Below are 12,463 nucleotides of genomic sequence, written 5' to 3'. Positions count from 1 at the left end.
AGTATAACTCCCACCCTTGCCACAGACATTCCTAAGGCTCCTTATCCTGTTTAATTTTTTTCCTTTAGCATTTATCACAGTCTGATATACTATGTACATTTGAGATATATATACACACACACACACACACACTATATATATATGTATATCCGATCAGATATACATATAAAATATAAAACAATCAGTTATACCAGATAAACACAAAACTAATCTTAAGGATTAGTTGATGCCACTAATGCCACCACAGAAAATTTTCTGGTATATTTGATGAGATGTACATACATACAGTATATATATATCTGATATACATAGTATATCAGACTGTCATAATTGATAAAGGAAAAAAATTAAACAGAATAAGGAGTCTTAGGAATGCCTGTGGCAAGGGTGGGAGTTATACTAATCCTCCACCACTCAAATAGGAATCTGATATCAGGCAAAAAGTTGGGTAAGGATCAGAACATACATATCAGATATACATATGTAGTATAAATATATATATATACACACACACACTATACATATATATGATATATTATTTCTTTTTTTCTTTTCTTTCTTTTTTTTTTTTTGAGACGGAGTCTTACTCTGTTGCCCAGGGTGAAGTGCAGTGGTGCGATCTTGGCTCACTGCAACCTTCGTCTCCCGGGTTCAAGTGATTCTCCTACCTCAGCCTCCCAAGTAGATGGGATTACAGGCACACACCACCACACCTGGTTAATTTTTGTATTTTTAGTAGAGGTGGGGTTCCACCATGTTGGCCAGACTGGTCTCGATCTCCTGACCTCGTAATACGCCCACCTCAGCCTCCCAAAGTGCTGGGATTACAGGTGTGAACCACCGCACCTGGCCACTATATAGTGTTTCTGATCCATCTGCCCTACTAGACTTAAGTTCCATAATGGTTGGGAGTTTTGTTTGTTTACTGCTGTATCCTCAACAGCTCAATAAATTTTTATTGTGTGAATGAATGAATGAAATGGGGAAAATTGAACTAAATAACCAGTGCTGGTGAAACATTTGTGAACGTCCAGGAGTGATAAAAATATTTAATTTTCAGTTCAGCATGAACACTGTTACTCAGAATAGATGCCAGGCATAGACAACCAGTACAGGCAGCACCATATTGGTTCATGCTGGCTAACTAGCATCTCTTTTTATACCCCTTTCTCAAATCTTTCACTGAATCTTGGCTGATGAAATACTTTAATCATAAAAATGAAGTTTCAAGACTACTAGTGGGCAATATAGGTGAACATTATATAACTGTGGCAGAAAGAAAGCATTTTCTAAGCTTAATATCCATGCAAGAAATCATTATAGGAAAGAAAAACTTAATTAAATATGGTTTTAATATTTTTTATTAATCTACTTTATTTTTTTTAATTTTTGTGGGTATGTAGTCCATATATCCATACTGCATATGGATATCCAGTATATTTTGATACAGGCATACAATGCATAACAATCACATCAGGGTAAATGGGGTATGCATCACATCAAGCATTTATCCTTTCTTTGTGTTACAAACAATCCAATTATACTCTTCTAGTTATTTTGAAATATATAATAAATTATATTCTTAACTGTAGTCACTCTGTTGTGCTGTCAAATACTAGATCTTAAGCCGGGTGCGGTGGCTCATGCCTGTAATCCCAGCACTTTGGGAGGCTGAGGTGGGTGGATCATTTGAGGTCAGGAGTTCAAGACCAGCCTGGCCAACATGGTGAAACCCTGTCTCTACTAAAAATACCGGGCGTGGTGCGGGCGCCTGTAGTCCCAGCTACTCGGGAGGCCGAGGCAGGAGAATTGCTTGAACCCGGGAGGCGGAGGTTGCAGTGAGCCGAAATCATGCCACCGCATTCCAGCCTGGGCAACAGAGCAAGACTCCATCTCAAAAAACAAAACAAACAAACAAACAAAAACCAAATACTAGATCTTATTAATTCTAATTTTTTTTTTTGGAGCCATCCTCACTGCCCTCCCACTCCACTACCCTTCCCAGGCTCTGCTAACCATCATTCTACTCCCTATCTCCATGAGTTCAAGTGTTTTAATATTTTTTAGCTCCCACAAATAAGTGAAAAGTGTGTCTTTCTGTGCCTGGCTTATTTCACTTAACATAATGTCCTCCAATTCCATACATGTTATTGGAAATGACAGGATCTCATCTCATTCATCTCATCTCATCCTTTTTATGGCTGAACAGTAAGTATTCCATTGTGCATATGTACCACACTTTCTTTATTCCTTCACCCGTTGATGGATGCTGAGAGTGCTTCCAATTCTTCGCTATTTTGAACTGTGCTGCAATAAACATTGGTTTGCAAATATCTCTTTGATATGCTGATTTCCTTTCTTTTGGGTATATACCTAGCAGTGAGATTTCTGTATCATATGGTCATCCTATTTTTAGTGTTTTGAGGAACTTCCAAACTGTTATCCATAGTAGGTGTGCTAATTTACATTTGTACGTACATAAATTAGCACACATACATAGTAGGTGTGCTAATTTACAGTGTACGAAGGTCCCTTTTCTCTACATCCTCTCCAGCATTCACTGTTGCCTGTCTTTTGCATAAAAGCCATTTTAACTGGAGTGAGATGGTATCTCACTGTAGTTTTGATTTGCATTTCTCTGATGATCAGTGATGTCAAACACCTTTTCATATACCCATTTGTCATTTGTATGTCTTTTTTTTTCTTTCTTTCTTTCTTTTTTGAGACGGGGTTCCAATCTTGTTGTCCAGACTGTAGTGTGATGGTGTGACCTCGGCTCACTGCAACCTCTGCCTCCTGGATTCAAGCGATTCTCCTGCCTCAGTCTCCTGAGTAGCTGGGATTACGGGTGCCACCACCATGCCCAGCTAATTTTTTGCATTTTTAGTAGAGATGGAGTTTCACCATGTTGGCCAGGCTACTCTTGAATTCCTGACGTCAGGTGATCCACCCGCCTCAGCCTCCCAAAGTGCTGGGATTACAGGTGTGAGCCACGGCACCCGGGCCTTGTATGTCTCCTTTTAAGAAATGTCTGTTCAGAGCTTTTGCTCATTTTTAAATTGGATTGTTAGATTTTTTTCCTATTGAGTTGTCTGGGCTCCTTCTATATTTTGATTATTAATCCCTTGTCAGATGGCAAACATTTTCTCCATTCTGTGGGTTCTCATTTCACTTTGTTGATTGTTTCCTTTGCTGTGCAGAAGCTTTTTTCACTTGATGTGACCCCATCTGTCCATTTTTGCTTTGGTTGCCTGTGTTTGTGCGGTATTACTCAAGAAATCTTTGGGCCAGGCTGCTCACACACGGTCGGGAACCTCACGCGTGCTTTGTTGTTACTGTTTGCACCCCCTGATGCCAACGCGGGCCGCCAGTGGAGGAGGCCTCTGGACTACACTTTCTGTCTTCATGTTAAATCTCTCCTCCAGTGTGGCCCAGCACCAGGTGGGCTCCCGTGGGACGCCCTGCCGTCAGACCCAGATTGTTAATGTTATTGTTGGGAAAGACAAAAAAGGCAGAAAGATCCCAGAATATCTGATCCATTTTAATGGCTGGAACAGAAGCTGGGATAAGTGGGCAACTGAAGATCATGTGCTTCATGATACTGATGAAAATCGTAGATTACAGCATCAATTGGCAAGAAAAGCTGTAGCTCGCCTGAGCAGCACAGGAAGAAAGAAGTGCTGCAGGTTGCCTGGTGTTGATTGACTCTGTCTTAAAAGGCCTCCTCATTGATGAAAAAGATGAAAATGATGAAAATTCATTAAGCAGTTCCTCTGGCAGCAGCAAAGGATGAAGAATAAGTGAAGAAAGTGATATTGAAGAAAAGACTGAAGTGAAAGAAGAACCAGAGCTTCAAACAAAAAGAGAAATGGAAGAAACAACAGTAACTATAGAAATACCTGAAGTTCTGAAGCAGCAGAAGGATGATTGTTATTACATTAACAGGAGGAAATGGTTAGTGAAACTTTCATGCCAGACCAACATCATAATGATTTTGGAAGCATTTTGCTCTCAATGCAGCCTTTTCAGCCAATGAGAGGCCTCGTCACCATCATGCTATGCCACATGCCAATATGAACGTGCATTATATCCCAGAAGAAAAGAATGTTGACCTTTTTAAGGAGATGGTGGATGGATTAAGAATAACCTTTGATTACACTCTCCTGTTGGTTTTACTCTATCCATATGAACAAACTCAGTATAAAAAGGTGACTTTGCCGGGTGCGGTGGCTCACACCTGTAATCTCAGCACTTTGGGAGGCCGAGGTGAGTGGATCACCTGAGGTCAGGAGTTGGAGACCAGCCTGGCCAACATGGCGAAACCTCGTCTCTAGTAAAAATACAAAAATTAGCCGGGCATGGTGGCAGGAGCCTGTAATCCCCAGCTACTCGGGAGGCTGAGGCAAGAAAATCGCTTGAACCCAGGAGGCAGAGGTTGCAGTGAGCCGAGATCACACCACTGCACTCCAGTCTGGGCAACAAGAGCGAGACTCCATCTCAAAAAAAAAAAAAAAAAAAGGTGACTTTGTACAAGTTTTTTTTCCAATTAAGGAAAGTGCCATAAACACTAATACGATCCAGGAGGAACTCTCTCCCAGCCTGCCTTTGTTGAATCCATCCATGCCACAGTCCACAGAGAGTCAGCCAACCATTAGTGAACCAGCCACCCACAAAAGGCGCAAAGCTGAGTTGGAAGCATTGCAGTCTCTGAGGTGGTCCCTGAGCCACACCACCAACTGTGACAGACTTTCTGACAGCAGCACCTCACCTCAGCCCAAGCGCCAGCAGCAGGACACATCCGCCAGTATAACCAAGCTGTTCCTGCACCTGGAAAAGAAGACACCCGTGCATAGCAGATTGTCTTCACCTATTCCTCTGACTCCTAGCAAGGAAGGAAGTACAGTGTTCGCTGGCTTTGAAGGGAGAAAAACTAATGAAATGAACGAGGTCCTGTCCTGAAGCTTATGCCTGACAATTACCCACCAGGTGACCAGCCGCTTCCACCCTCTTACATTTATGGGGTATAACATTTGCTGCGATTGTTTGTAAAACTTCCAGAAATCCTTGGAAAGATGTCCTTTTCTGAGAAAAATCTGAAGGCTTTGTTGAAGCACTTTGATCTCTATTTGAGGTTTTTAGCAGAATACCGTGATTACTTTTTCCCAGAGTCAGCTTGTGTCGCTGCCTGTGAGGTGCATTACAGCAGCAAGAATCTCCGGGCAATTTATTACAGTGTTGATGGTTCTGTAAGAACAACTCCTCTATCTAGCTCAGCGCTCTGGGTTCCAGATGAACAACTATCAAGGTAGTGGGTCTTTACCCAGAGCACAAATACAATGCCCACCTGGCGGCTCTGACAGAGGTAGGCCCTGAGTTGCCCACATACTGTAGTTATTCTGTTAGGAATTGTTTCCTGGGTGCCTATAGTGCTCTGACACAACACTTGCTACTGTGCAGGCCATCTGTGATGGCAGGAAAAAAGCAACTGGGTCCACAGTGAAATGTTCGTGGAAGCATACATAGGTTAGGCTATTTCAATAGACATTGCAGTTAATTAGCTAGAACCACATTGTTTTTTTATTTGTTAGCATTAAGTAATTTTTTTTTTTTTTTTGCAAATTGGTTTCATTCTTTTGATGAAGCTGAGCAACTCTGTCCAACAAGGTTTAGTTTGTACTTGGAAACCACAAAGTAGTCTCAAAGTATTTTAGAGGGACTCGATATTGACGGCAAAAGAAAATTTGCAGCTACACGTTTGCTTCTAACAGTTCCCTCTCTATGAAACATTATTTTTGGTGATCTAAAGAAAGCATTGTGTTTCTTGTTTGAGATTTTACAGCTATACTTTGCTGTGTAATGTTATGGCTACCTTTCTGTAAAATGTTAGTTTTGGTGATCTAAATAAAGCCTATCTTGTTTGAAAGAAAACAAAAACAAGAACAACAACATAAAAAGAAGTCTTTGCCCACACCAATGTCCTGGAGAGTTTCCCCAATGTTTTCTTGTAGAATTTTCCTTATTTAAGGTCTTAGATTTCAGTCTTTAATCCATTTTGATTTGATTTTTGTATAGGGTAAGAGATGGGAGTCTAGTTTCATTCTTCTGCATATGGATATCCAGTTTTCCCAGCATAATTTATTGAAGAGACTGTCCTTTCTCTACAGGTTCTTGGCACCTTTGTCAAAAATGAGTTCACTGTAGACATATGGATTATTTCTGGGTTCTCTTAATGTGCTCCATTGGTCTATATGTCTGTGTTTATGCCAGTACCATGCTGTTTTGGTTACTATAGCTCTGAGGTATAATTAGAAGTCAGGTACAGTGATTCCTCCAGTTTTGTCCTTTCTGCTCAGAACAGCTTTGGCTATTCTGGTCTTTTGTGGTTCTGTATAAATTTTAGGATTGTTTTTTCTATTTTTATGAAGAATATCATTGGTATTTTCATAGGGATTGCATTGAATTTGCAGATTGCTTTGGGTAGTATGAACATTTTAACAACATTGATTCTCCCAATCTATGAACATGGAATATCTTTCCTTTTTTGTGTGTCCTCTTCAATTTCTTGCATCAATGTTTTATAGTTTTTATTGTAGAAATATTTCACTACTTTGGTTAATTCCTAAGATTTTTAAATTTTATTGGTAGCTATTATAAATGAGATTACTTTTTTGATTTTCAGATTGTTTGCTGTTGGCATATAGAAATGCCAACGATTTTTGTTTGCTGGTTTTGTATCCTGCAATTTTACCACATTTGCTTATGAGTTCTAATAGTTTTTTGGTGGAGTTTTTAGGTTTTTCCAAATATAAGATCATATCATCTGCAAACAAGGATAATTTAACTTCTTCCTTTTCAATTCAGATGTCCTTTATTTCTTTCTCTTGTCTGATTACTAGCTAGGACTTCCAGTGCTATGTTGAATAACAGTGGTGAAAGTGGGCATCCTTGTCTTGTTCCAGATCTTAGAGGAAAGGCTTCCCACTTTCCCCATTCAATATGATACTAGCTGTGGGCCTGTCATATATGGATTTCATTGTTTTGAGGTATGTTCCATTTATACTCAGTTTTTGGGGGGATTTTTATCATAAAGGGATGTTGAATTTAATCAAATGCTTTTCCAGCATCAATTGAAATGATCATATGGTTTTTGCCCTTCATTCTGCTGATATGATGTATCCCATTGATTTGCATATGTTGGACCATTCTTGCATTCCTGGGATAAATCTCAGTTGGTCATGATGAATGATCTTTTTAATGTGTTGTTGAATTCTGTTTGCTAATATTTTGTTAACAATTTTTTCATCCCTCTTCATTTGAGATATTGGACTTTAGTTTTCTTTTTTTGATGTGCCTTTGGTTTTGTTATCAGGGCAATACTGGTTTTGAAGAATGAGAGGAAATATTCCCTCCTCCTTTCTTTTTTGGAATAGTTTGAGTAGGATTGGTATTAGTTTTTCTTTAAATGTTTGGTAGAATTCTACAGTGAAGCCAATGGGTCCTGGGCTTTTCTTTACAGGGAATCTTGTTATTATGGCTTTGATCTCATTACTTGTTATTGGTTTGCTCAGGTTTTGGATTTCTTCATGGTTCAATCTTGGTTGGTTGTATGTGTCTAGGAATTTGTCCATTTCTTCTAGGTTTTCCAATTTACTGACATATCATTGCTCATAGTAGCCCGTGGTGATTCTTTGAATTTCTGTAGTATTGGTTGTATGGTGTATACATATTTGAGATGACGGTCTCACTCTGTTGCCCAGGCTGGAATGCAGTGGTGTAATCATGGCTCACTGCAGCCTCAACTTCCTGGGCTCAGGCAGTCCTGACACCTCAGCCTCTCAAGTAGCTGGGGCCATAGGTGTGTGCCACCATACCTGGCTGATTTTTTTATTATTACTTATAGAGATGGGGTCTTCCTATGTTGCCCAGGCTGGTCCTGAACTCCTGGGCTCAAGCCATCTGCCTGCCTCAGCCTCCCAAAGTACTGGGATTACAAGCCTAAGCCAGCATGCCTGGCTGGTTTTAATATTTTTATATGGAAAAAAATATCATAGGCAAAGTTTAAAGGCAAATGACCTACCAGAATGTGACAAAAGTTAATGCTCAAAAGAGCTCTTGAAAACTCAGTAAAAAATAACATTTTATATCTAAAACTGATTCAAAGTTTTAAAACTCTCAGGAACAAAACAGGAAATTTACTCTATTTATTCTCTTATCCCACTTTCGCTGAGATGTTGAGAAGAACTAATTCCAATATTCTCTCTTATTTCTGACCTCCCACTTTATAATGTGAAGCCTAATAGATACATCCCTAGACAGAGAATCAAACTTCACGGTCAATATATGCCCCACTCCAATTATGAAGCAGATCATAAGTACAGATTTCAGACATACCACATTCACTAGCTGATCCTCCCACCAACTGGAAGAACTGCTGGGCAATTTTCATATGATCCCTCTGAAAAACAAACTGAGCTGATATAGAGGAATAAGGTAAAAATATTTTATTTTATTATACTATATGGTTCTAACATATTTGTCAGGATTTAAATATACCTTTGTTTTAAATCTTGCCCCAAACAATACTAATTCTCATTAACATAACAACTAGACCCGAAACTGAATTAAAACCTGTGCAGGGACAGGCAGAGGAGAAGAAAAAGAATCAAATCCTTAAATTCTATCCTAAAACTTCATTAAATGAACTCAATCATTCTACAAATACCTATTGCTCTTTTACCATATATCAGACCTTGGAACAGGAGCTGTAGATATAACAAGGAGTATTTATTAAACTCATTTATTTAATAAATATTTGCTGCCTATCTACTATACAAGGCACTGCAGAATGAACTTGAGATAAAAAGATTTATTTGTATCCCATTTTGTTCCAAAAAGAACAAAGAACGCTGTATTAAGATGGATAAGAGCTTAATTTTAGACAGTGTTTTGGTGTTTATAAAAATAACTTCTCCAGAGAAACAATTTTCCCTACTTTACAGATGCCAAAATTATAGCTAGATATATGTAAGTTTAAAAAAAGTCGCTGCAAATAAGAATGAAGTTGCGCAATGATTTTTAAGTTAGTTATTAAATAAGTTGCTATTTAAAAATTGGACCCTTTTAAACAAGCAGGAGTCTTTAGGGTTACAAGTTTTTTTTTTGTTTTTTTTTTTTGTCTCTAAATAACATAACATTCTTTTCTCAGTGGAGTCTGGATTGGGGGATATGGAGAAATAAAAGGAGCTACAGGAGAGCCTATTGCTGCTTGCACTTTGATAGTCATTTTGTTCTCTTCCATACACTTATAACTTTGCAACCTATAGATTATCAGTGATTTCATACTCACTGAACCCATTTCCTGGCCAAGGGCTGCATTGACCACTCCTTTGAGAATATACTCCTAGAAACATGGAATAACACTGATTAAGAGGAATGTGGAGCTATGAGATCATTTTCAAATTAACTCCTTGCATTAACTCAATACTTTATATAAAGTATCAAAGATTACCCACAGTTACTTTTCTCTGTTCTATCCCTGGCTTGAATAAAAGAATTAGGAGACACTCATTTAGTTTCCAGCAGCCAAGTATCTATATAACAAAATTTACCATATTTGTAAATTCTCAATCTTAAGCAAAAATAATTTAGTGGAAGCTCCAGCAGATAAGTTTCATTTTATTTCAATTCTATGGAAAAAAAAGTAAAATGTTGATATAATAATTTTTATTACCTTCTCAACCACTGCCATTCTCTGTGACCATATCATATATATTATTTTTCTTTTCCAATTTTTTTTTTTTTTTGAGACCGAGTCTTGCTCTGTCGCCCAGGCTGGAGTACAGTGGCGTGATCTCAGCCCACTGCAACCTCCACCCCCAGGGTTTTAGCAATTCTCCTACCTCAGCCTCCCGAGTAGCTGGGATTACAGGCCCCAGCCACCACACCCGGCTAATTTTTTTGTATTTGTAGTAGAGACGGGGTTTCACCATGTTGGCCAGGCTGGTCTCGAACTCTGGACCTCAGGTGATCCACCTGCCTTGGCCTCCCAAAGTGCTGGGACTACAGGTGTGAGCCACCACTCCTGGCCCCTTTCCAATGTTATAGTAACTTTTCTTTGCTAGTAATCCTTTTCCTAAATAAAAAAAAAGTGTCCTCTGATATCCATTTATAAGGTATTCTCTCTTTTGGAGTCCTGGGGCCTCACTTCTATCCCTTTTTTCAGACTTGGATCAATTCTTTAATAGATACCCTCCCTAGCTAGCAGCTTTATCAATCTTTCATTTAAGAGAGCTCACAAAGAACAGCATGAAAGAAGCTCAATCTTTTAATATACTTGAGAAATATACTTGTTTAAACTCCATGGGGTCTGGAAATATTTTTCATTCAGTCTTTCATTCAATAAATGGAATGTTTACTATATACTTTATGCACATAGTGTTAGAGATACAATATAGACACAGTCCCTGACTACAAGGAGTTAACGATCCAATGGGGAAGAAAGACAAGTTACAGACAATTTATGAGATAATTGCATGTATCTAGTTGTTATTTTCATCAGAATTCTAAATTTTCATATTTCCAAATACTAAAGGAATTTTCCAAATTTCCTTACCCTTTTTGACAAAATGACTACATATAAGGGAGTTTAAAAACATCAAAAAGCCTAGAACATTCATTCTCATATCACAAGTCGCATATAACATTCCTGAATGAATACATATGGTCTTTTCCTGGGATTCTACAGGCAGGAGTCTGCCTAATCTTCTCTAATATGACTTCCAACTAAATTTCTGAAGTTCCACTTTTAGCAGAACTTGGTTAGTAAAAATATAAAACATTCTCAGTTACCTGAGGAGTAGTAGGTTCCAGATCCTTAATTAAGTTATAAGCTTCTTGTACATCATCTGAAATACAACAAAGTAATTATACTAGTCTGTATTCCAGAAAACCCTCCTGAAGCAGTCCTCCCAAAAGATAAGATCCTTCAGTACTTAAATATTCATGGGAAATATGATCTGTTTTATCTGTCTTCTAACTCTCCATGTTCGGTGTTGAGTAGTTATGCTAAAAATAACCAAATATCCTTAGAAAACTCATATTAAGCCATGAAGTACCTTAAAAATTGTTGAAGCTAAGAACATGGATGAGGCATTCTATGCCAATGGCATTGTATTAGATAAGAAAAGCAATGATTTCTTTAAAAAAGAGATACATATATATATATATTAAGTATATAGGAATTAAATGACATGAAGTCTGAGATTTGCTTTAAAACATTTCAGGAACAAAAAAGAGGTGATGAAAAAAGAAGACTGGAAATATCTTGAAAAGTGCTGAATCCAGGGTGAGTATTTGGGTGTTTATTGTACCATTTATTTTTGTCTATGTTTGAAATTTTCCATAATAAAAATAATTTATAAAATATATAAGCTGTTTATTTCATTCTTGTCCAAAACATATTTCTTTTTGCTTTTATATAAAAGAGAGGCCGGGCACGGTGGCTCACACCTGTAATCTCAGCACTTTGGGAAGCTGAGGCAGGCGGATCACCTGAGATCAGGAGTTCAAGACCAGCCTGGCCAACATGGCGAAACCCCGTCTCTATTAGAAATACAAAAATTAGCCAGGCATGGTGGCGCATGCCTGTAATCCCAGCTACTTGGGAGGCTGAGGCAGGAGAATTGCTTGAAACTTGGAGGCAGAGGTTGCGGTGAGCGGAGATCACGCCACTGCACTCCAGCCTGGGCGACAGAGTAAGACTCCGTCTCAAAAGAATAATAATAATAAATAAACAAATAAAATAAAGTAGGACTGTTTGCAAGTTCATATTCTTATTTTAATAAATACATTTTCCTCCATGAGGAATATGTTGTCCTGGTTGGTTTCTGCCATGCACCTAAGAAGGCCCACATTGTTAGTCCAGGGCCCATGACCAAATGCCACCACAAATGCATGGTGGCTGCTACCCTGTACTCATAGCTGTTAGAAAAGGCTGCTTTAGGCGTGTGTCTGACAATTTCAATCTTACTTAGGGGCAATAAATATCACATCCTCTTTGAATCATAGTATTTCTCATAAGCAGCCTGGGGTACAAAGAAACGGAAAGGCAGACAATCAAAGCAAATAAGAAACAGTTAATACTTTTTTCAAAAGACACAAGAAAATGTGAATGTACATAATGCAGTGGGGGAAACTAGAAAAAGAAAAAAGAACTGTAAGGGAAGGGGAGGAAAAACAATGAAAAAGAAAGAATGGATAGAGAATAAAGGATAGCAAAATAAAAGGAAAAAAGAAAAAACAGAATGAGGGAGAAGGTAGGAAGCGACAGAAGAGGAAAGAGGATAAAAAAAGGCACAACAAATAACCACCAATAAACTTGTTCTATGAACTTGTTGCAAATATATTTTTGGAAGTATGGATTTAAAAAGTGAAGCAAATAGTTCCATCAGACATATTTAACTAT

General features: G+C 38.3%; 1 protein-coding gene and 1 pseudogene across 8 annotated transcripts in view, besides 1 other annotated feature; one reads left to right on the top strand and one right to left on the bottom strand.

Annotated features, from left to right (window-relative positions):
- IFT56 (intraflagellar transport 56) overlaps nucleotides 1-12,463 on the bottom strand; it is a 58,209-nt gene that overhangs the window by 14,243 nt on the left and 31,503 nt on the right. For 7 of the 8 annotated variants that reach the window (NM_001318333.2, NM_024926.4, NM_001144920.3 and 4 more), the window contains 3 exons: nucleotides 10,849-10,904; nucleotides 9,347-9,400; nucleotides 8,392-8,455 (listed from right to left, as the gene is read on the bottom strand). In NM_001318333.2, coding sequence (NP_001305262.1) covers nucleotides 8,392-8,455; nucleotides 9,347-9,400; nucleotides 10,849-10,904 — 174 coding nt within the window. Of the gene's footprint in view, nucleotides 1-4,768; nucleotides 4,828-8,391; nucleotides 8,456-9,346; nucleotides 9,401-10,848; nucleotides 10,905-12,463 lie in introns of all 8 variants that reach the window. The other variant, NM_001321740.2, reaches the window with a different exon arrangement.
- Nucleotides 2,259-3,095: an enhancer, noted in NCBI's record as "H3K4me1 hESC enhancer chr7:138859395-138860231 (GRCh37/hg19 assembly coordinates)". NCBI's record gives its function as "activates a minimal SCP1, AML or CMV promoter by ChIP-STARR-seq in naive H9 embryonic stem cells {active_cell/tissue: H9 hESC(naive)}" and the evidence as "EXISTENCE:reporter gene assay evidence [ECO:0000049][PMID:30033119]".
- On the top strand, nucleotides 3,298-5,928 carry MSL3P2 (MSL3 pseudogene 2; annotated as a pseudogene).

The sequence above is a fragment of the Homo sapiens genome, chromosome 7 (assembly GCF_000001405.40).
Source record: "Homo sapiens chromosome 7, GRCh38.p14 Primary Assembly".
NCBI lineage: Eukaryota > Metazoa > Chordata > Mammalia > Primates > Hominidae > Homo > Homo sapiens.
This window is presented reverse-complemented; position numbering and strand designations above follow the sequence as displayed.